The sequence below is a fragment of the Homo sapiens genome, chromosome 7, assembly GCF_000001405.40.
Source record: "Homo sapiens chromosome 7, GRCh38.p14 Primary Assembly".
In the NCBI taxonomy this organism is placed as follows: domain Eukaryota; kingdom Metazoa; phylum Chordata; class Mammalia; order Primates; family Hominidae; genus Homo; species Homo sapiens.
The window spans coordinates 35,313,338-35,336,412 of record NC_000007.14 but is presented as its reverse complement, the minus strand read 5'-3'; the positions used below and the strand labels follow the sequence as shown (position 1 = coordinate 35,336,412).

At 39.5% G+C, this 23,075-nt stretch overlaps 1 long non-coding RNA gene across 1 annotated transcript in view; it reads right to left on the bottom strand.

The window, feature by feature from the left end:
- LOC401324 (uncharacterized) overlaps nucleotides 1-22,558 on the bottom strand; it is a 62,622-nt gene extending 40,064 nt beyond the window's left edge. Inside the window, exon 1 of the long non-coding RNA NR_038864.1 lies at nucleotides 22,473-22,558. This is a non-coding gene — a long non-coding RNA (uncharacterized LOC401324). The remainder of the gene's footprint in view (nucleotides 1-22,472) is intronic.
- Between the last annotated feature and the right edge of the window lie 517 nt (nucleotides 22,559-23,075).

Here is a 23,075-nt window from a genome sequence, read left to right as displayed (position 1 = left end):
CCCATATAACATAGTATATAGTTTTTTAATTGTGGTAACATTTGCATAAAATAAAATTTACCATCTTAACCATTTTTCTTTCTTTCTTTCTTTCTTTCTTTTTGAGATGGAGTTTCGCTCTTCTTGCCCAGGCTGGAGTGCAATGGTGCAATCTCAGCTCACTGCAACATCCACCTCCCAGCTACAAGCGATTCTTCTGCCTCAGCCTCCCAAGTAGCTGGGATTATAGGTGCCTGCCACCACGCCCAACTTATTTTTTTTGTATTTTTGGTAGAGATGGGGTTTCGCCATGTTGGCCAGTCTGGTCTCAAACTCCTGACCTCAGGTGATCTGCTCGCCTCTGCTTCCCAAAGTGCTGGGATTACAGGCTTGAGCCACCTTGCCTGGCCCCATCTTAACCATTTTTAAGTGTGCAGTGGCATGAAGTATATACCTACATTCTGTTGTGCAACCACTACCAGCATCCATTGCCAGAACTTTGTCACCTTCCCTAATGGACACGCCATACCTACTAAACATAACTTCCCATTCCCTTCTACCCCCAGCCCCTGGCAACCACCATTCAATTTTCTATCTCTATGAGTTTGACTAAGTACCTCATGTAAGTGCAATCATGTAGTATTTGTCGTTTTTGTGTGTGGCTTATTTTACTTAGCATGATGTCCTCAAGGTTTATGTTCTAGCATGTGTCAGAATTTCTCTCTTTTTTAAGGCTGAATAATACTCAGTTATATGTATAGGCCACATTTTGTTTATCCATTCATCCATTGATGGACACTTAGGTTGCTTAAGGCAAGGATTTTGTAAAATAAATACTTACTTTAAATTCTGAAGTCCCTTCAGCAGGAGGAAGGAAAAGTCTAAAAGGCCTAAAACTGAGCATTGCACAAAAATAAGCACATCTTTGACATCCACTGAAAATAACTTGGCAAATTTGGAAAAGGAAAAAAGAAATCACCTCCTTTTTAATTCTTGCAGAAAGCCCCTGGCTTTTCTAGAATGAAAGGAAATCTGAGAGCTCTAGGAAACTCAGTAGTTTGGTTGGCTGAGTTATGCCATTTGTCCAAAGAGTTAAATGATTCTCAGAGTTAAAAGGCAATAAACTGCATTTGCCATTCAAATGAGACTGAATTATTTGGATGGATTTTTGAGAATTCTGAAGTGTGCCTCAAGGTCTTGGTACAGTTCTGTAGAGATGACAGGGGCAGGGTAGGGTAGGGGTTTTCTAGAGTTTCCGATTTAGTGAAGTCGGGTCCTCCCTGAAGGGACCTCTGATGCCTGGTTGTCCCAGGTACTCAAATACTAATTTGAGTATTAAGTGGAAAGTATACTGCCCCTACTATTGTATATCTTGAAAGTCGCTCTAAAATTATTTTCTTAATAAAGTCTTACTTACTTTATTATTTTTCTTGCTTTTGTTAAAACAATCAATACGTTTTGAAAATATCGGGTTACTGAAATTCTCGTTGATTAGATAATGGATGAAAGGGACGCTATTGTGAAAAGAGAACAAGAGATGTCTTTCATTTAAGGAAAAAGAAAATTATACATTGTATTTATTTTTCCAATGGATACTTTCTATTGCTTAATTTTACTATTAAAAAAATACGTGAAAAGGAAGACTCATAAATGCTAGGACAAATAGTAACTCAAGTATGGGGATTCCCCAGGGGACGACTGGCTGCATTCCATCTTGGTGAGAGAGAGACCTGTGGGATAATGTACCATTAGCAAGGGAGGCGTGACTTCCAAGTGGCCAGTATGAGTGGTCAGGAGGGTACTGAGTCTCATACTGATGGGCCCTGGGAATACTAAAACCAGTGCCTTAGCATGTCCATGAGCCTGACTACCCACTGTGGAGCATAAAGCTGGGAAACACAGCCTCCCCACCCCATCCATCATGCTGTGCTAAATGCACAATGAGACAAACTTAGGCAGTGTAGTTTGCAGGATCCAGAACCTTCTAGGATTTAGATTCCTACAGCTCCATGTAACCTTCTCTCTTCTTCTATTTCCTCACCTATAAATAGACACACATAAGCTTACCACCCACCCTGGTAAATGAACCCAGATTTGCCAAGGGCTTGGCACTTTCTACAGACACCGAAGTACCTAATGACTCTGCCAGCTCTGTAATGAAAAGAAAAACCATTGATGTTATGAAATGATTCCTGAGGCCCCTTTAGTGGCAGAGTCTGTCTGCAAAGTTCAAAGGGCACATGGGGCCTCCAAACAACATTATGACCATTTCAGCTGGGCCCAAATTGCCTCTTTCAAAGTAAGCTGCCTGGGACCCAGCAGTATCCAGTGGCTAACAGCACTGACACCAGGAGCTGAGGCTGTTAGCACCTATTTTCCGCCTTCAAAATAAACCAGAAAACTCATGTTCCAGCATGGAATTTTACATAGAGGGTGAATAGTTGGTGGTCTTGCTGGTGGTCGCCTTGAGTTATCAAGTTCCAAAATAAAGGAAGCAGAACAGGAAGATAAATACTAATCTTGGGAACCTAATCTGAAGACCGCTTATTCTTTCTTCCAAGCGGAATGGAAAGGCATTTCTACCTATGCCTGTCTCCCCAGGGTTCAGGTTTCTCAAGAAAAATAAAAACCAGAAAGAAGAGTGTCCAAGCTTCAGCCATGGAGGAATGGAACTGCTGTCCTGCAATTGTATTTACACAGTGGGCTCACCAGCTACCAGTGTTTTTCTCTCTGTGACTGGTAGAGAGGCTTAAATAAGGCCCCATCATTTGTATTTGTCATTTTTACTTTGCTTATGTGTTCCTTTCATAGTAATGGCCCCAGTCCATTTTCACATCATTGCTACTTGCTAGAAATAATAATGATAATAATGACATTTACGGCTACCACTTATAGCCCTATTCCTGTCACCTTCCTACAGGCAGTACAAGCATCATCTTGCCAAAGTACATGAGCTAGACCCAGACTGCCTGCTCCACACCGTGGAATCTGAGCCACCTTAGCAAGATTATCATGTGAGTCAACATTGGAAAAAACATGCCAGCGTGTTTAACAGCATTGATAATAGTCTGAGTGTTAACTCTTGGAAAACTTCAATCCACAAAGGGAGTGGCCTTTTGGATGGCATATTATAAAATAACTCCACACTAGAGTAGCCAATCTGACACTGCTGCCAGCCTCTGTCACCCACCCACCAACACACACACCATTGTATTCTCGCCAAACCTCATGCTTTACTCTCAAATTTTCCCTAGCAAGCTACATTCTATATCTGCTCTTAGGGGTAATGACCAAGAAAAAACTAACAGTTAAAAAACTGAAAGCAACATGGGCTAGGTGCAGTGGCTCACACCTATGATCCCAACATTTTGGGGAGGCCAAGGTGGGCGGATTGCTTGAGTCCAGGAGCTTGAGACCAGCCTGGGTAAATAGCAAAACCCTGTCTCTACAAAAAATACAAAAATGTGCCGGGGCGTGGTGGTGCACGCCTGTAGTCCCAGCTACTAGGGAAGCTGAGGTGGGAAGATGGCATAAGCCCAGGAGTTTGAGGCTGCAGTGAGCTATAATTGCACCACTGCACTCCAGTCTGGGCGACAGAGCAAGACCTTATTTCAAAAAAAAAAAAAAAAAGGTGTCCAGAAAAGAGAAGTTTTCTGAGTCCTAGAAATAGGACCCTGTCTCGCATTTTCCAGCCAAGCACCTGACCCATCTCTTTGTGTTACTCTCTGCTCTTGCCCCACGTAGTTGGCAGGAAGACTCCGTCAAAGGGTCAGTCTGTGGTAGAATCTATAAACCATAGCCTGACGGATCTGAGTGACTGGGCTTTACACTGGAATTTTCTGTGGCAGCCCCTTTGCCCCTATCACCACAGCCTTCCTGCCTGGCAGCTGCAGACAGAATATTCTATTCGCAATAGTCAAAGCCCAATAAGACTCCGTTCTCTGAGGCTCTGGGCCTGCCCTGTCCGATTGCTTTAGGGCCAACCAGGAAGGGTTTACTTGGCTGGCTAGGGAGGAACTTTTACAATTAAAAAAAAAAAAAAGTTGTCAGTGACAAAGCCTTTAGAATTCTGGAGGATTCCTAAGGGTAGCTAATTGGAAAAACCATTTGCCCCCTTTAATGACTCCCCCGCCCTTCCCGGCCCCCAGCCTTATCCGAGAGCAGCCACCCTATCTGTAAATGGCGACCATGGAAAATGTACCCTGGCGACTTGGTGTGAAAGATAGGCAAGGCTCCTAAAAAATCTTCTCGGAGGCTTATCACCTTCTTCTGGCTCCACAGCGGGCTCGGGCTCTGGGGCTGGAGGAAACTGCCTGTCTGTGAGCCTAGACAGGGTCTCATCAACAACTGATAAGGCCCTCTGTGAACAAGCAGGCTCTGTGGGGCTTACTCTCCTCTCGAATGCCAGAGACATTTGTAGGAAAATCTACAGGGTCCAACGACCTCCGAGAAGGAGGCCGGGCAAGCCTGCAGTGTCAGCCGTGACGCAGGACCGCCCTGCCCCCACCTGGGAAGAGAGGAATACCTAGAGGTCATGCCACAGGCCAGGACACAAATGTCTGATGGCCAGCTGGACCATCCAGGCACTGACAATGCTGGTTTACCAGATGAATTAATCACAAAATAAATTCCAATCTGCTCAGACACAAAATAACCAAAAAGCTCCTATTATCAGAATTTCTACAATGAAAATGAATATTAAAATGATGCCCCTCATACTGCAAGATCTTGAGGTTCCTTCTAAATCAAACCAGTTAGTTCAACAAAAGGCACAGCATTGGGAAGGAAGAAATCAGATTTCATATTTCAGCTCTGCCCTCTGAATATCCATGTAGCATTAGATAAATCAGTTTCCCAGGAAACTGCAAATAAAAATATTTGCCCAGTCTGGCTCTCATTATGTGAAAGAGATTTATAAATAAATGGTAGAATGCTATATAAATAAAGTATTCTTCTGTTAAAAAATACAATATTTAGACTATTTTGTGGCCAGTGCACTTATACACTCTCATTCTTTGAAAATTGCTAATTCCATGCTATGCAGACATAAAAAAGGATGAGTTCATGTCCTTTGTAGGGACATAGATGAAGCTAGAAACCATCATTCTGAGCAAACTATCACAAGGACAGAAAACCAAACACCGCATGTTCTCACTCATATGTGGGAATTGAACAATGAGAACACATGGACACAGGAAGGGGAACATCACACACCAAGGCCTCTCGTGGGGTGGAAGGAGGGGGATAGCATTAGGAGATATACCTAATGCAAATGACGAGTTAATGGGTGCAGCACACCAACATGGCACATGTATACATATGTAACAAACCTGCATGTTGTGCACATGTACCCTAGAACTTAAAGTCTAATAATAAAAATAAATAAATAAATACAAAGAAAATTGCTAATTCTAATTTAGCATGGTGAATTCAGTGGGGAAAATGTGCACTGGGTTCCTGTGCACTCTGAGGACACAAAGAAAAGATACAGCTCTCATACAAAGAACTGCAATGTCAGGCAGAGACATGTGCCATAATACAGGTACAAACATATGCTAATGGGGAAACCTGGCAGGAAGACTGCTGAAAAAGTCTTGTGGCGAAAGTACGGTCTGAGCAGATGCCAATGAAGGGATGGCTTTGACCAGGCAGAGCATGAGCAAAACCACAGCACAGGGCAGGCCAGCAGGGCAGGCAGTGGTTGGGTTGGACTGCACTGAAAGGTGTAGGGATGATAACGAAGGGTGGTAGGCTGGGACCAGGCAGATGGGCTCTGAATGCCAGGCTGAAGATCTTGGATTGTATTAGGTAGCGTGGAAAGCATGAGACATAGGACAGATTGGAGGTGGGAAAACCAGCCTCAGGGAACCAGGTGGAAAGCGGCAGTGCGAGTAGACAGAAGGAGATGCTCAAAAGAAGCTTGGGCTGTGAGTTAAATCTCTGATAATCCAAATAGGTACCATTCTCCTTCCTTTCTGATAAATAGGAGGTTACTCTACTCAGCATGCATTTCTTTGCCTGCAAAGTTCCTCAGCCTCATTGTCTGTCTTGGGCCACTTTACTATTTCAGGTGAAATTCATTTCCTATTCTGGTTCTACATCAAGATATCACACTGGGAGAGAGGGGGAAATGGTTAAAGAATGTAAAAAGAAAAGGAGAGTAAAACAGGGAAATGATTTAAAAAATTAAGATTTGTATTCCTACAGAAGGAAATAAGTTTACTGTACAAAATTTAGAAATCATAATTAAAGTGTAAGAAATGAAAATCACATGTATTCAGAGATATCTACTATTAATAGTTTAGTGGATAGACTTCCAGTATTTTTTCTGTGTGTATGTGTTGTAATATATATTTCTGTGTGCATATAGTTTAAAAAATATGTCAGGGACTGTTATAGTACTACTTATGTGATCACTGCCACGGCACATTGAAACTTAACAAATATTTATTAAAGTAATTGATTACATGAATAACTGAAGACATTGTTTTATAAATTGATTTTTCACTTAATTACATTTTATATTGTGGACACCTTTCCATGTATTAAAATGCTCTTTTAATGGCTACATGATACTCCATGTCTGCATTTACCATGCTTTAATTACCAAAACATGATATGGTTGGGTACTTATTTTAAACAACACTGCGTTAAAAATTCTTATAGTTAAAGATGAACATTTATAATAATTTTCTTAGAAAAGGATACTAAGGGGAGATTTGCTATAGCAAATGATATGCACATTTTCAAGACTTTTGATATCTGGTGCTGGCTTTCGATATTTTACCCTTGCTGAATTGCCCTTTAAACACATGTATTACGTTGCTTCCCATGTCAGTAGATGTAGACTTCTTTCTCCGACAGACTGACAGATGACAGATGTTATTTTTCCCTTCATCTTTGCCCATTTGATGGGTTAAAAAAAGTATATCATTCTAATTCTCAGTTATTTGGTTACTGTGATCTCAAATTTATTTTATTTCTTTTTTTTCCTGGTCTTTAGTTATACTTTGGAGAGGGGTAGATTTGTTTGCTGTCTTATTCAGTTCAGGCTGCTATAACAAATATACCAAAGACTAGGTGGTTTGAACAACAGACATTTATTTCTCACAGTTCTGAGGACTGGGAAGTCCAATATCAAGGTGCCAGCAGACCTGAAGTCTAGTGAGGGCCATTTTCTGTCTGCAGGTGGCTATCTTCTTGCTGTGTCTTCACATGATAGAGGGGAGAGAGGGAAAGGCAAGCTCTTTCATGTCTCTTCTTACAAGAGAACTAATCCCACATGAGGGCTCCACCCTCACGACCTAATTACCTCCTAAAGGCCTCATCTCCAAATGCCATCACATTGGGGATTAGGATGTCAACATATGAATTTTGGGGACACAAATATTCAGTCCATAGCACTTGCTTGTACCTTTTAATTATCTTTCTATGTTCTTGTTTATTTGTAAAGAATTATGTATATTAAGAATATTAATCCTTCTTCAAAAATACTGTAAATGCTTTTTTCCAGTTTGTCATTTTGCTTGTAGGTTGTTGTTTGTTTCTTTGCTATACAGCTTTAAATTTTTAAATTTTTATCCATTGAATTCATTGATCTTTCCTTTATGATTTCTGCCTGTGACATCATGCTTTAAAAGGCCTTCCCCACCCCAAGATTCAGGGTTTGCAGCAACTTCATAGGATATAAATATGGCAAATAAAGAGAATTGACAATATAATGCAAAAAACCTTAAGACTAGATATCAAACAATTCAGATATTAAAAGTATCTCCATCATACCCACCATAGGGAACTTCTGGGAGACTGCTTTCTCTTCTGCTTTCAACCTCCAGCCACTCTTCTGGGCTGTCTCCCTCCACTCCGCCATCCTAGTCCTCCCTTTCCTATTCCAGGGCCAGCTCTCTTCCTTCTGGGGATTGCCCTGGGAACCCAAGCTTCAGCTTGTGAGGCAGAGCAGTTCATCACTCTCTGCCTTACTCGGCCCTTGGGCCATGCTCTTTGGGTTCTTTCTTCACTAAGATGATCTCATAAGTCGTTGCACAAGACAATGAGAGATATCCCCCCACAAATTCTTCTGCCAATTTTGAAATTAACCTTTGTTTCCCAGATGCACAGCCAGATGTATTTTCTGGTGCTTATTTGATGAGCCAACAGATGGTCCTGTGGGCACAACTGTGCCTTGGGTTTAGCTTGGAAATAAACTTTTCAGAAACACATTTGGCCAACTTTGTACTTTTTCCAGTGAGGGTAGCAAGAACTAAAGAGTATTGATCTGTACATCAACACCTATTTTCAAAGGAGGCAGAGGAAGGCTGTGGAGGTGATTTAGACAAGCCTCAACTCCATTTCTGCAAGTGGAGGAGGGGAGGAGTAGAGAGCTGATTGTATCATTCTTTGTTTGTTTGTTTGTTTTTCTGAACTGGTCTTGTCACCTAAGCAAAAGTTGACAGTTTCCTCTCAGGGGCCCTTTATGTCATCACCAACTCACCCCTACCTCCATTAGAAAAACGTTAGCAGAACTCCAAAATGCTGTGCAGACATGACCTCACAGGCTCTCAGATATAGGACCTCATTTTAGGTTCAATGATTTTTTTTTCCTTTCTTGTCTTGCCACATGAGAAAGCTGCTTTTAGAATGCATGGGACAGAACTGTCTGCTACTTATTAGTGTAACTTCTAAGAGACCTGAGAAAACATGATTACAGCCATTGTTCAAACAAAGAAAAACAGGGACCTAAAAACAGTAAAAACAGTGGTTTGGACCATGTTAACTGCCTTTTAAAAAACACATGCCAATAGAGGGCGAAGAAAATCAATCAGTAAGATGGCTGCTAAAAATGTTTTAAATGAAGAATGCATAACTATATACAGCCCATGTCTTCCTAGCTTTTTAAATTGAGCATTTTCCTGCCTTTGGTTCCATAGTTAATGCCATTCCGCAGCTATGCTTTTGCAATTAGGAAGGAAAGAAGTGTGGGACTAGTTGAGGCCAATGTGGAAAGCAGGATTATTGTAGATGATAAATCAGAGGTCTATGAGTTTTTCCTATATTTTGCAGTAATCTTTCTTGGGAGAAAAACACACATTTTTCTGCAATTTGTTTATCAGTTTTTCTTTTGAAAATAAATGATTTGACATTTAAGAATTGCAAAAGAATTCCTATGGGAAGAACCACAGGCTAGAGATAGATAATGTTGGATGTGGAACTCTGCAAGACACTATAAAAAATTGTTTAATGGGATACATAAGGATTTGCTAATTGGACTGGGAATTTGTGAGAGAGAGGAGTTGATAACTCTGAAGTGATTTGGAAAAGAATATTATGTCAGCATTATAATAAAATGAAAAAATAGGTCAACATAAAATGATTTTGAAGACCCTCAGTTGTGCATATACTTAAGTGGATGCTTTTTTTGACAACGGTTGCTATTATTTTACTTTAATAGATATTTATAAATTATCTCAAAAGTCCTTTATCAAGTGTCTGGAGTCAGTGTACAGTGTGAGTATTTAATTTTGGCATATTTACATATAAGAGTGTGTAGGAGGAGGTGTGTATGATAAGACAAACAGCAGTGTGTCTTCATTCAAAATAAATGCCTTAGATTTTGGCTGGATTTTACAACAAAACCTAATACTTTAAAAATATACTAGAAGTAGACTTCTGGCACAAAATGATGTTGGCTCATAGCTCTGTATTTAGTATCTTCTAACTTCACAATAAATGGGCATACAAAAAAAGAGATAAAATGTTGAATGATACTGTATTTACTGTATTTTGTACCACCACTGACTCAGAGATTCCAGTTTTACCACCCAGAACACTGGGCATAAGTCTTTCCTTCAACGACCAGACACAGCTGAACTACTGTTCCCATCTGCCTATAAACCTCTCTGATCTAATGACATCTTCTTACAGTCAAAGAGCGAATGCCAGGTAGAAAACTTTCATTTGAGCATTGTACATGGGGTTAGTAACCACCAAGAGAAACTTATTATAGGCATGTGCAGACATAGGAAGAAAGTTGATAGCCATGGGAATTATGCTTGTTCATGCATTCCATCACTATCAGACAGGTGGACATCAGATGTGGGAATAGATGCCATCTTAATAGAAAGACACATTAGTTGAAAGCCTGGGTATTAGATTGGAAACTGTGTAAATCAGTTAGCCTGCAGCTACAGATCTGAAAAGTGAATTCAACCATTACATAAGTAGAGTCAAAGAGAGGCCAAAGGTAATTCACATACCCAATATCTGGAAAAGATTTCACCTTTCTTACCCTCCTTATTCATTAAACAAATGTCCATTTAACCTCTGTTGCCTTTTAGGTAATAAAAAAAAAAAGAAAAATAACAATGTAACAAAGACTCAGAAGAAAAGTATAAGATTAGGAAATATTTACTACAAGATTTAGAAAACAATTTCAGAAAACTAATTGGTATATTTAGAAGAGTGCAAATAGAAATAATCTCAATAAATAGGTGCAAAAATCTGAAAATAAGAGAATAAAATGAGATTAAAAGGTAACAAAATAAGAACTGACTACAGAGAAAAACATACAATGAAAATTGAAAGTCAGTAGACATACAGAATAGGGAATGGCAAATCATTCTGATTTACAAAGGAGAGGCCTGAATTGTACATAACCAGAAATGCTACACAAAGAAATAATGAAATATATAATCTAATACAACTTTTCTGAGCTGAAGAAAGACCTGGAGACTTGATGAACTCACTACATTCCAGATAAAAATTATTGAAAATTGACCCACACTTGTAAACCTCTTGGCAAAACACTTGAATTGCAAAAATAAAGAAAATATTCTCATTTGCAGGAGGGAAAACCAGTTTCCTATGATGGAACAAGAATCAGGGTAGCCTCAGACATCTCTATATGTTGAATTTGCATCTCTATATGCTAGATGTCAGTGAAGCTACACCTACATTAAAAAAAAAATGTGTTGTCTTTGACACTGTGGTTCAAGGTTTTTTTTTCTTTTCTTTTTTTTTTTTTTTCAGAAAACAGAGGCAAGTATTCAAACTGTCATGAGAATAAGATGTGGCCAAAATTAAATGTGGTTCTATCTCTCATAAAAAGTCTTAGAATGATGCATCACACCAGCTGTCTGGGAACAAATGTATTTTGTTGGCATGGGAACAAAATAATTAGTCTGAATTTTGTAAATAAACTGCGGTTATTAAAATTACTCAAAACAAACCAGAATAGTAACCATTAAACATGAAAAGTCAATAGAAGTCTTTGAATTAGAAAAAAAAGATGTGTTATAACCTAAGAATTTTATACCTAGCTAAGTTGGCTTTCATGTATGACCACCAAAGGTAAATTTTCAGAGTCAAGGATTCAAAATATTATATGACACATATTTTTAAAGAATAATTGGTTGAAGACATACTACAACAATTTAAGAGTTGAAAGAAAATTAGGTGATTAAGTATTTAGATGTGATAGCATAATTAAAATAGAGATGCACAAGCAGAGGAAAGAAAAAAATAAAGACGAGCTGAAATCAATGAAATTGAAAAGAAGAAAACAATAGAGAATATTAATAAACCAAAAGTTGGTTCTTTGAAGTAATGATTATATTGGAAAATCTATAGACAGACTGACAAAAGAAAAAATAGAAATGATGTTAATTACCACCATCAGAAATGAAAGAGGGAGTAACAATACAAACATATATGTTAAAGAAATAATATGGGAATACTGCAATAATCCTATGAATAAAAGTTCAGCAACTTAGATAAAATGGCCTAATTCCTTGAAAGCCACAAACTGTCAAAACTCACCCACAAAGAGATAGATAATATGACTAGTCCTATACGTAGTAATGAAATTGGGTAGTTTAAACCCTTCCTCAAATGAAAGCTCCAGGCTTATGTAATTTCACTGGTAAATTCTAACATTTAAAGAAGTAATAATAGCAATTCTACACATTTTTTTCCACAAGATAGAAGAGAATAAAAACCTTCCCAAGTCACTTCATGCAGCCAACAGTAACCTGATATCAAACCAGACAAAGATAATACAAAAAAAAAGAAAACTAAGGACATGTATCCCTAATGAATATAGGCAAAAAAAGCCCTCAACAAAGCACTCTTGAATCAATTCCAGCAAATTATTAAGGGACTAATACATTACCAGGGTAATGTATTACCATAGGGTTTTTTTTCTTGTATGTTCCTCCAATGAAACAAGTGAGTTTTATTTTAGAAATACAAAGCTAGTTTAACATTCAAAAATCAATCAATGTAATCTACCATACAAACCTACTAACGAATGAAAATTACATGATCATCCATAAACTGCTGCAGAAAAAGCATTTGATAAAATTAAACACACAAAAAAACCTAAGACTAATAAGTGAGTTTAGTAAGATCACAGGATAAAAGGTTAACATACACAAATCAATTGTATTTCCATATATTAGCAATCAACAATTGGAGACTGAAAAAAAAATTAAATGCCATTTAAATAGTTCAAATGAAAGAGAAATACTTATGTATAAAACTAACAAAACATGTGCAGGACCTGTATATTGAAAACTGCCAAATCCTTCTGAAATATCGAGGAAGACCTATATAAATGGAGACACCTACCATATTCATGAATTGGAACACTCAACACAGTCAAGGTGCCCATTCTCTCCAAATTGATCTGTAAGTTTAGCTCCATTGCAATCAAAATCTCTGGGGGATTTTTGTAGATATAGATGGGCTGACTCTAAAATTAATATAGAAAGGCAAATGAACTAGAAAAACCAAAGCAATTTTGAAAAAGAAGAACAAAGTTGGAGGACTCACACAGAAAAATAGACCCATATAAACATGGTCAATTTATTTATTTTTATTTTTTGAAATGGGGTCTTGCTCTGTCACCCAGGCTGGAGTGCAGTGGCACAATCTCGACTCACTGGAACCTCCGCCTCCTGGGTTCAAGCAATTCTCCCACAATTTACACAGATTTATACATGTGTTAAAATTCATAGATTTTCTCAAAAAAATGTTAATTTTACAGTACTATTAATCTTATTCAATGTTAAAAATTAAAACACTAGCAGGTACTATGCAAGTGAATTAATAAATAAAATTCATACATCGTTTTCTAAGTTTAGAATGCAGGCATGTTTCAATGTTAGGATATCTCTAAGTGTAATCCATTTACATTAATTTAAAAATAAAAAATGCTTAAAATATATATGATAGAATGTAAAACCCATTCTTCATAAAATTCTTAATAAATATAATCACTCTTAAAAATAGTAATAAACTTATTTAAAGAGACAAGGAACTTAAAATCAACAACAAGTATTTTATATAGCAATGAACAAGAGTCATGTCTCTCCAAGTTAGAAATAAGATATAGAGCCTACGTGAGAGAGTGAGACCCTGTCTCAAAAAAGAAAAGAAGAAAGAAAAAGAAAGAGAGAGAGAGAAGAAAGAAAGAAAGAAAGAAAGAAAGAAAGAAAGAAAGAAAGAGAGAGAGAGAGAAAGGTAGGAAGGAAGGAAGGAAGGAAGGAAGGAAGGAAGGAAGGAAGGAAGGAAAGAAGGAAAGGAAGAAAGGAAGGAAGGAGATAGGTTTGTTGTTATCAGGATTATTAATATTGTACTCAACAGCACAGCCTGCCAAAGGTTGGTTTTCCGAAAGCAGATGTCAAGGAAGGGCTTGGGGTAGAAGATGTTCATTATGGATCAAAACCTGTGAAGGGCAGGAGTGGGAAGCAGGACTTCTTAAAGAAAGAAGTTCGACCGTGACTCAGCCCAGCAAAGCCTTGGCCAAGCTGATGGTAGCTCTGGAGCAAGTGCTCCTTGCCTGGCCTTTCTACCCCATCTTACTTGGAGAGCCATTACGAGATGCCTAGGAGGGTTTCCTCTGAGTGAGCTGGCCCACCCTGGAGGAGTCCTCACCAGCTGGAGACACTTTACTGACCGAACTCTCTGCAGCTGCACAGCACGGGGGTTCTGGGTGGTACCTTTCTTAGTCTACAACAGGAACCATCCCACTTTTTTAGGAAGGAGCCATATAGCAAATATTTTAGGCTTTGCTGGCCAAGAGACACCATGGAAGATATAAAGAAAGTTCTTCATAAAAACCATTTTGAAATGTGAAAATGATTCATGGGTCATACAAAAAGAGTAGACGGATGGATTTGGACTGTGCCTCATAGTTTACCAATCCCTGATCTACTTACTACACAGCCATTGCAATAAGAAGAAATAACAATCATAGAAACTGAAAAGAGGAGGAAAAATGATTACTTCTGATGACATGACTGTCTTTCAGAAAAACCCAAGGAATTTATTCAACTATTAAAATTCAGAAATATGGATAACTACAGAATAATGCAATACCACTAAACATGAACCTTAATTCATTTAAAGCTAGTGGTTCTCAAATTTTTAATTTTAAATCAAATTTTAAAGTACATCTTCTGGGAAGATTTTCAGATGCAGATTCTGGGATCCCACCCCAGATTTTCTAATTCAAGAGTTGTGTCCTAGAGGTCCCAGGAATCTGCAAGAAGCCCTAGTTGATCCTAACGTCAGTGGTCCATAATTTAAGAAGTTCTGTTTTAATTCTTTATAGTAATCTCCTCTAAATGGATGTTTCTTAAACTTTGAGAATTTTAAATACCTGTGAGAATTATATAAAAGTTATGAATTCCCCCAAATTTACCTATTTATCAGGGAAACAAATCTTCTTACTGCAATGTAATCTTTAGAGGATAGGTGTTAGCATAGCTTCACTTGAATAGAGGACTTAGGCTAAATAAAAATACTGAATTATATTTGCTCAAATTTTGAAAATCAGTTGGGAGAAGCTGGGGTAGGAGCAGTAAAATAAAATAGAGAATTAATGCCCAGTGGTTGAGTTCAAGTCTTTTTGTGTAGACAAGTTTGGGTTTTCTGGAGGCAGCTTCCCCTACTTTTTCTCCTCAACATACCCTGTCATGCCACCACCATTCATAACCACATTCATATCTCCATCCCATCTTATGCCTTGTAATTACTTTCCCAGGATTATTTGCATTTTAAAAGAAATCTCTGGAAAAAGCTAATGAACTACTGAAAAGGATTAAGTTCCAATGGTAGAGCTTGGAAGAGAGAGATGGGTGCATATCTCACGGGCAAGGGCAGTTTGTCAATGCTTTTTAAATTCCAGCGTACAGGAGGGTCTACATTCTCCCTGTTCTACCTATTTTTAAGGCCAAGCATGATCCAGTTTGCAAAATTTTTCTCCTTGGACTAAATGGAATCCCATTTGATACTTCAATGATCCAGCTCATGGATGTTGACTTCCAATGAGATAATGCATGTAGAGCAGAAAATGTGATTTTAAGCAGTTAGGACATATTCAATAAATGTTAGGTACTATTATTGTGGATGTTGTTGATTCAACTGAACATCAGTTCAGCAGCCCACATTTAGATGTAGATCATATTCTTGGTGGTTACCCAATTTTGATGGAGACAGGTATTCTGGTGTTAGGGCACAGAATTCATACTCCGTGGAACTCGTGGTCTAGAAGGGGAGAGGGCCAGTAAACACATAGGAGCTGGGCAGTGACAGGTGCTCTACTGGGGGATTATTCTACTGACAGGGTGGCCCAACGAGAGAATGGACAACTCAGCCTACAAGGAGTCCTGGGGGAATTTGTCATCAGAATAATAGAGCTGGTTTTCTGACATAATACAGAGTTACATTTAATTGTCAAATAAATTATACAATAATTTACCATAACTTATTTCCACTACTTTAGTAAAAATAAATTACATTTTAATTCTAAAAGTATAATGTTAGAATAAAAGAGAGTCTAGTAAATTGACTAGATTAAGCTTTTTGAAGAATTCATCATGTTTTTCTCACTTTTCCCCAGACAGAAAAACCTCCTTGGGAGGTGGCACAGGCTTTGAGCCACCACCTGGGAAGGCTAGTCAATGATGCGACAAGAGAGGCAAGGGCTGCAGTCTGAGTTCTAGGCTCCAGCCCTGGCTCTTCACCTGGTGTCTGTGTGGCTTTGGACAATAACACTGAATTCTCTCTTGGTCTCGGTGCATTTATCTTTCCCCACAGCTAACTCTTAAAGCTGTAGGGAGGTGTAGAAGAGATTATATAAGTGAAATTGTGTTGTTAACTGGTATTTTAATTGAACGGATGATTAAGAAGAGGTAGCATGTTGCTAAGTCTGAATAGGTAGCTCATATTTGGACAGCCCAAGGGGAGGCTGGAGTATAGTTCAGCCTGAGCTCCATGTACCTGGGGTCACATTTGACCAGTGGGCAGGTGCTCCAGGGCAAGGAGTAAGTGACAAATACAACTGGAAATTTTCATTGGCGGCAGAAAGTCAGGGGAAAGGCTTTGGATTTTATCCTAAAAATAATGGGAAACATTGAAATGATGGGAAGATTGAGGAGAGTAAAATGACAAAAAGAGAGTTTTAATGTCAGTATAATGTATTTTTAAATATGTAAAGGTACATTTGGATTTTTTATGATTATTACTTGGGACTGTGTTCACATAATCTCACAGTTGACTGAACACTCCCCTTTGACCTCTCCCTCCTTGGGGACCAACTCAGGTTTAATTGAAGCTTTTGTCTCTATCTCTGCCTTTGACAGCTGGGAGAGTAGCGGGGGTTTGGCTAATTAGTATTTAACTGTTCGCTAGTGTTCCCGTGGGTTTGTCAATCACAATCTAGTTTAAAATGGATTCAGACTTTTCGAAATCTTAAAAAAGGATGCTGTGTTAGAGCTGATTCCATTTTTTGAAAGGAATAAAGCAAGAATCAAATCCACCTTTATAAGCTTTTCAGTCACATCTCCCAACAAAATGATATTTTGAATTGGAAATATGCTGCAATCATCTTTAGATGCAGGGGCTGTGGAATGAGAGTTAAAAATGAGCTGAAAGGTCTCCATCCACGGAGACCTGAGATCTTAGATCTTCATTTAAAGTAACCCACCAGGGACATACTTCTCTTTGCTTCCCAGGTGGCTTTAGAGACATGAAGAGATAAACCTCAATATGCTAGAGTAAGCCCCTGAAGTTTACTATTAATAAAAGGTATCATTGAACATAACTGCCTACTTTTATTCATTCAGGCAGTTAGTCATTCAATGAATATTTACTTTTTTGGTGTCAAGCAGTGAACTAATGCTGAGAATAGAGATGGAAAGATCTTGCCTCTAAGGAAGCTGACGTTTTATTACCTACTAGGCACAATGTCCAATATTTGGGAGATAGGTACATGAAACCCAGTCCCCACCATTATTCATGTAATATCCATGTAACGAAAAAGCACATGTATCCCCTGAATCTAAAATTTTAACAAAGAAGAAGCTGGCCAGGCACGGTGGCTCACGCCTGTAATCCCAACACTTCGGAAGGCCCAGGTGGGGGGGGATCACCTGAGGTCAGGAGTTCGAGGCCAGCCTGGTCAATGGTGAAACCCCATCTCTACTAAAAATACAAAAATTAGCTGGGCGTGGTGGTGGGTGCCTGTAATCCCAGCTACTTGGGTGGCTGAGGCAGGAGAATCGCTTGAACCTGGGAGGCAGAGGTTGCAGCGAGCTGAGATCAAGCCACTGCACTCCAGCCTGGGTGACAGAGCAAGACTCCATCTCAAAAAAAACAAAAAAACAAAAAAAAAAAAAAAAAAAAAAAAGAAGAAGAAGCTGACATTTTAGAGAGGAGACAGGCATCTAAACAATTATCATACTGTGCAATATAATGTACGTGTCTTATGCAACGCAACATCTTAATAAGGTTCAGCATGCGGCAACAGGAGCACAGAAGAAAGATGTGTCCTGAGACAGCTGTTTAGCAAAGACTGCAAAGAGGAGGTAGCACTTCGACTGGGTCATGAAGGATGACTGGGAGTCTTCCAGATGAAAAGTAGAGGCAGAGAATTCTAGGCAGAGGGAAGAACATTTTCAAAAGCCTAAAACAAAATGGAAGACCACAGGTATTTTACATGTCATGTTCAGGAATTTAGATTTATATTATACTAGAGCAATATGTCAAATCATGCCACTTAACTGGCTGTGTGATGTTAGGTCAATTACCTGAGCTTTCTGAAACAGGATTCTCATCTGGAATAGAGGCAATGAAACATTAAAGTGCTAGCATACCGTCTGACATAGAGAAGGTGCTTGAGTCCTACTGCATATAAAAGTAGCTTAAACAAAATAGGCATTTATAGCTCTTCCACATACAACAGTACAGAAGCAGGGAGCCCAGAGCCAATATGGCAGCATTGAAGACCTCAGGGACCCTGTCTCCATTATTCTAGACTATGGATGCTCTCTTCAGGATATCCTCATATCCAAAGTGGTCATTAGAGCTCTCTAGAAGCAAGAAGAAAGGGCACAGGAGAGAACTTATCAACTAGAGCAACTATAAGCTCTTAGCAGCCTTTCTGGAACCTCCCTCCCACCACCACCACGCCTTAACCCTTCCATCTCATCATACCAGCTTTGCATGGGCATACTTTGCTTCAGGAAGCCTGGGGTATAGAGTCTTTTAGGGGGTACATTTCCATACCAAAACAAACCAGGGCTTTGCAATTAAGAAAAAAGGAGAACATGAACATTGGGGGACAACTTAAAGTCACTGCCATAGTGCTCAACAAATGTTGGTTTATTTAATCCCTTGGCAAGTCAGCACAGTTTAAAAGTGAAAGATGAGTTTTGAAGTCAAATCCACCTGGGTTCATACCCCAGATCTGGCACTCATTCACTATATAAACTTAGGCAAGTTACTTTTAGCTCTCTGAGCTTCAGGTTTATCAACTATAAAATGAAGGCAAGAATGCTGATCTCCCAAGTCATAGAACACCTGGCACATGGATGGTATGCAGTAGAGAAGGGTTCTCTCTAGGCTTCCACCCCTCTCTCCCAACCCAGCAGAAGACTAGGGCATCAGGCCCAAGTCCAGCTCATCCATCAGCTGTGCTTCATTGTCTGTGGGAGGGAGACACCAGAGTCAGCATCTTATGAGTGAACCAAACCAAAGTCAGATGGAGAGTTCCAGTTAGGCATCTGAAGGAGGCAGGCAGAGAAGGATCAAGGTGTAAGTCACGAGGATGCAAACCAGAGAAACAAGATCATAGCAAGAGGGTATGGGAGACACAATCTAGAGACATTCCCACAACTAGAGGAGCAGGATGTGATGTCCCATTGGGGGAGGGAACTCTAATTTGGAAATACTAATGGGGAATTATTAAGTACTAGATTATGTTAAGTAAAGCTTGGACCCTGTGAGAAATGGACATGGTCTTAAATAAAATTCTTAGGCTTGTGGTCTGTCTGGGAGAGGGCTGAAGGACCCAAGCACAAATGCATCTAATAGTGGTATCTAGGGTCTAGTGACCTTTGAAGAAGTCTGCAAAAAGCATGGAAAATGAGCAATTTACTTCATGAACATCTTAGTCCCTCGTATTTCACTGTGAGAAACAGAAACCCATACATACTAAGTAATTCAAATAAAAGGGAAGTTTATGGAGTAGATACAACTGGCAAGCTCATGGACATGCAAGACCAGAACAGACATGGATGGGTCTCTGGGAACACAAGGGGCCTGGACATTGTCAGGCGGGATGAAGGCTGGCTCTTACTCATTCTGCTTCTCTCTACCCACCTGCTTCCTCTGCTGTTTCTCTTGGCACATTGGCCTTTTCTCATTACTCATGGCTTGTGAGCTATTTCTTAACCCTGACTCTATGCACCATTCCATTGCCATGGTGATGACTGAAGTTCTGACTCCACAAGTCTCTTAAGTTTAAATGTTCACACCTTACAATATAATTTCCAAGCCTTTAGCTAAATCCTAGAGGTTGAAATTCTTCTTAACTTGGCCAGGCATCGTGGCTCATACCTGTAGTCCTAGCACTTTGGGAGGCTGAGGCGGGCGGATCACCTGAGGTCAGGAGTTCGAGACCAGCCTGACCAACATGAGAAACCCCATCTCTACTAAAAATACAAAATTAGCCAGGTGTGGTGGCACATGCCTGTAATCCCAGCTACTCAGGAGGCTGAGGAAGGAGAATCGCTTGAACCCGGGAGGTGGAGGTTGCAGTGAGCCGAGATCACGCCTTTGCACTCCAGCCTGGGCAACAAGAGCAAAACTCCGTCTCAAACAAACAAAGAAAAAAAAATTGACTGAGGCTGGGTGCAGTGGCTCATGCCTGTAACCCCAGCACTTTGGGAGGCCTTGTCCCTAAAAAAAAAAAAAGAAAGAAAGAAGATCTTCTTAACTCGGATTAAAGATTGGCTCCCCTGAGTCAGCTTTCCATTCCTCATCTAATCACCTGGGGCTAGAGAATAGAGCAGGGTCTCATAGTTCTGTGGAGAGCCACATTCCTTTTCGTCCTAAAGTCCTTATATATATAAAGAGTAAGATCCTATTCCTATTCCTTTTTCTCCCAAAGTCCTTATATGTAGAAAGAGTAAGATCCTATTCCTTTTTCTCCTAAAGTCCCTATGTGTATAAAGAGTAAGATCAAGACTTAAAGTTACAGTTGCATAGCTAAGATGTGCCCAATAGCAGCACCACACCCAACCACAATCACAAGGACTATTACCATCACCACCACCCACAGAGTCACCACTGTGATTCCCTCCATCACTACAACACCCACAGCACAATCACTATTATAGCAACCAGTACTACCATCACCACCACCTCCATCATCATTACCACCATTATCAATATCACCACTTATAATCACCACAACCACTCTCACTACTACCCTGCCCACCACCATCCCCACCACAATCATCTGTCACTATTATCATCACCAGCGCCATTACCACCACTAATACCACTTCCTCCATTTCTGAAATCATCCACACCTCTAACATCGCCACCACTACCCCTACCAACACCATCCCCTACCAACACAATTACCACCACCACCTCGATCATCATCACTACCGCCATCCAACTATCTCTGCTACCATCACCATTATCACTACTACCAAGGTCATCTCCGTCACCACCGTCATCACCATCACCACCTTCCTCATAACTATCACAAGCCCCCTTTATAATTACCATCATTGTCACCACCACCACCATTAATCTCAATTACCTCCATTAGTACAATCACCACCACAATCACCTCCACTATTTCACCTCACATTCCTCATAATTATCACCACTCTCACCATTACTACCACCACTACCACCACCTTGAACATTCACATCACTACTGTTAACACCACCTTTGCCATCACTACTGCCATATCTACCACCACCTCCATTATCACTACCTCCATCATCACTACTATCTCCACCATCATCACTACCACCAGGCGTCTCTGCTACCACTACCTATGAAATGTAGGCTGGAAAACAAGATTTCTACTATGGGTAAACTAATCTTGAAGAGAGAGGAGGTGGAAGTCAGATGGGTGCCTGTGAATTTTCTAAGTACATCAATGTCAATAATTCTTTATAGTTATCTAGTCCTGAAAACTTAGCATCATCTTGTCCTCCATATCCAATCAGTCACTGAGTACCATACATAGTCATTTCTGATTTGCCTACATCGCTTCCTACTTTTCTATTTCTGCTGCCACCATCCCTCATTTCACAAATGGATGATCACAATTTTTTCCTAGCTGGCTCTCTGCCTCCAGTCTACCTACTCTCAAAGCATTTTTCATGTCCTGCCAAATTAATCTTTCTAAAATCTTGATTTCATTGCTTTTTTGCTTTGCTCAAAATCTATTGGCCAAATTTTCCCATCTAGAACGAAAAGCTCTAGATCCAGATTCCTTTGCCAGCCCTATTTCCTGTGACTCTCCTCCTGGAACTTTGGGCTCCTACTAGGTTGGTGTCCTCATTAGTCTTTCAAACCTAGCATGGTCAAACCTATCTCCACACCACGGCTCAAACATGTCCTCTATTTGGTCTGTCTTCTACAATCCTCTGTTTCTATACACATTCTACTTATTTCTCAAAGCTTGACTTAAAATGGGGAGATATATGTTAAAGAATCCAAAGTAGCAGATTTGTAGGATGAACAATTCTAGAGATCTAATATACAGCATGAAGATTATGGTTAATAAAATTGTATGTATTTGGGAATTTTGTTAAATAAGTAGATTTTAGCTGCTCTTGTCACAGATGTACACACATACGAGTAACTATGTGAGATGATAAATACATTAATTTGCTTCACTGTAAGTGAACATTTTACTATCTAAATGTATTCCATACCGTCACATTGTAAACCTCAAATATAAACAATAAAATGTGTTTAAAAACAACCAAACAAACAAATCTGGGCTTAAATCATATATGTATGAAATTTAAGGGATTCCTCTTAAGCATATTAGGGGACTCAGCTTTAAGATTACAGACAAAGTCCCCACGTTAGACTCTGTATCTCTTGAGTCCTAAGATGATTAAAAATCAATAAAGACATAAGCATGTAGCAGCCAAGAGAATGGGAGGATACTCACCAACATACAAGAAGTTTTAATGAATTTTCAGAAGACAGGAAGTAAATGGAGAAGCATTAGTGGCTTGCAGCAGAACAGAAGAAAGAGCAGCCTTGAAAAAGCTGCAGGAATTTGAAAGCAGCAGAACCATGTAACCCCTGGACACAGAGTCAATGCACTCAAGAATGGAAACAAGGAGCAGGGCCAAAAACCAGGGAGAGTGAGAGGACTGTCAACGAAATAGTAAACACCTCCACTCTTGCACAAAGCTCAGGCCAACAGGCATTTATTCCCAGCCAAAACACAAGGGCATTTTTCTAAAAAAAAAAAAAAAAAAAAAGAAAAAAAAGAAAAAAAGAAAAAAAAAAGAGAATAACCACAGGATACTGCTGTGGTTTGAATGTGGCCCTCGAAGTTCATGTGTTGAAAGCTTAATCCCCAATGCATCGATATTAAGAGGTGATTCGGTTATGAGGTCTTCACCCTCATGAATGGAGTTAAACGGTTACTGCGGGAGTGGTTAGTTATCATGGAAGTGGACTCCCAATAAAAGGATGAGTTCAGCCCTATTTCGTCTTCTGTCTCCTCTGGATGCCTCCTTGCCATGAGATTCCTCCAGCCCCA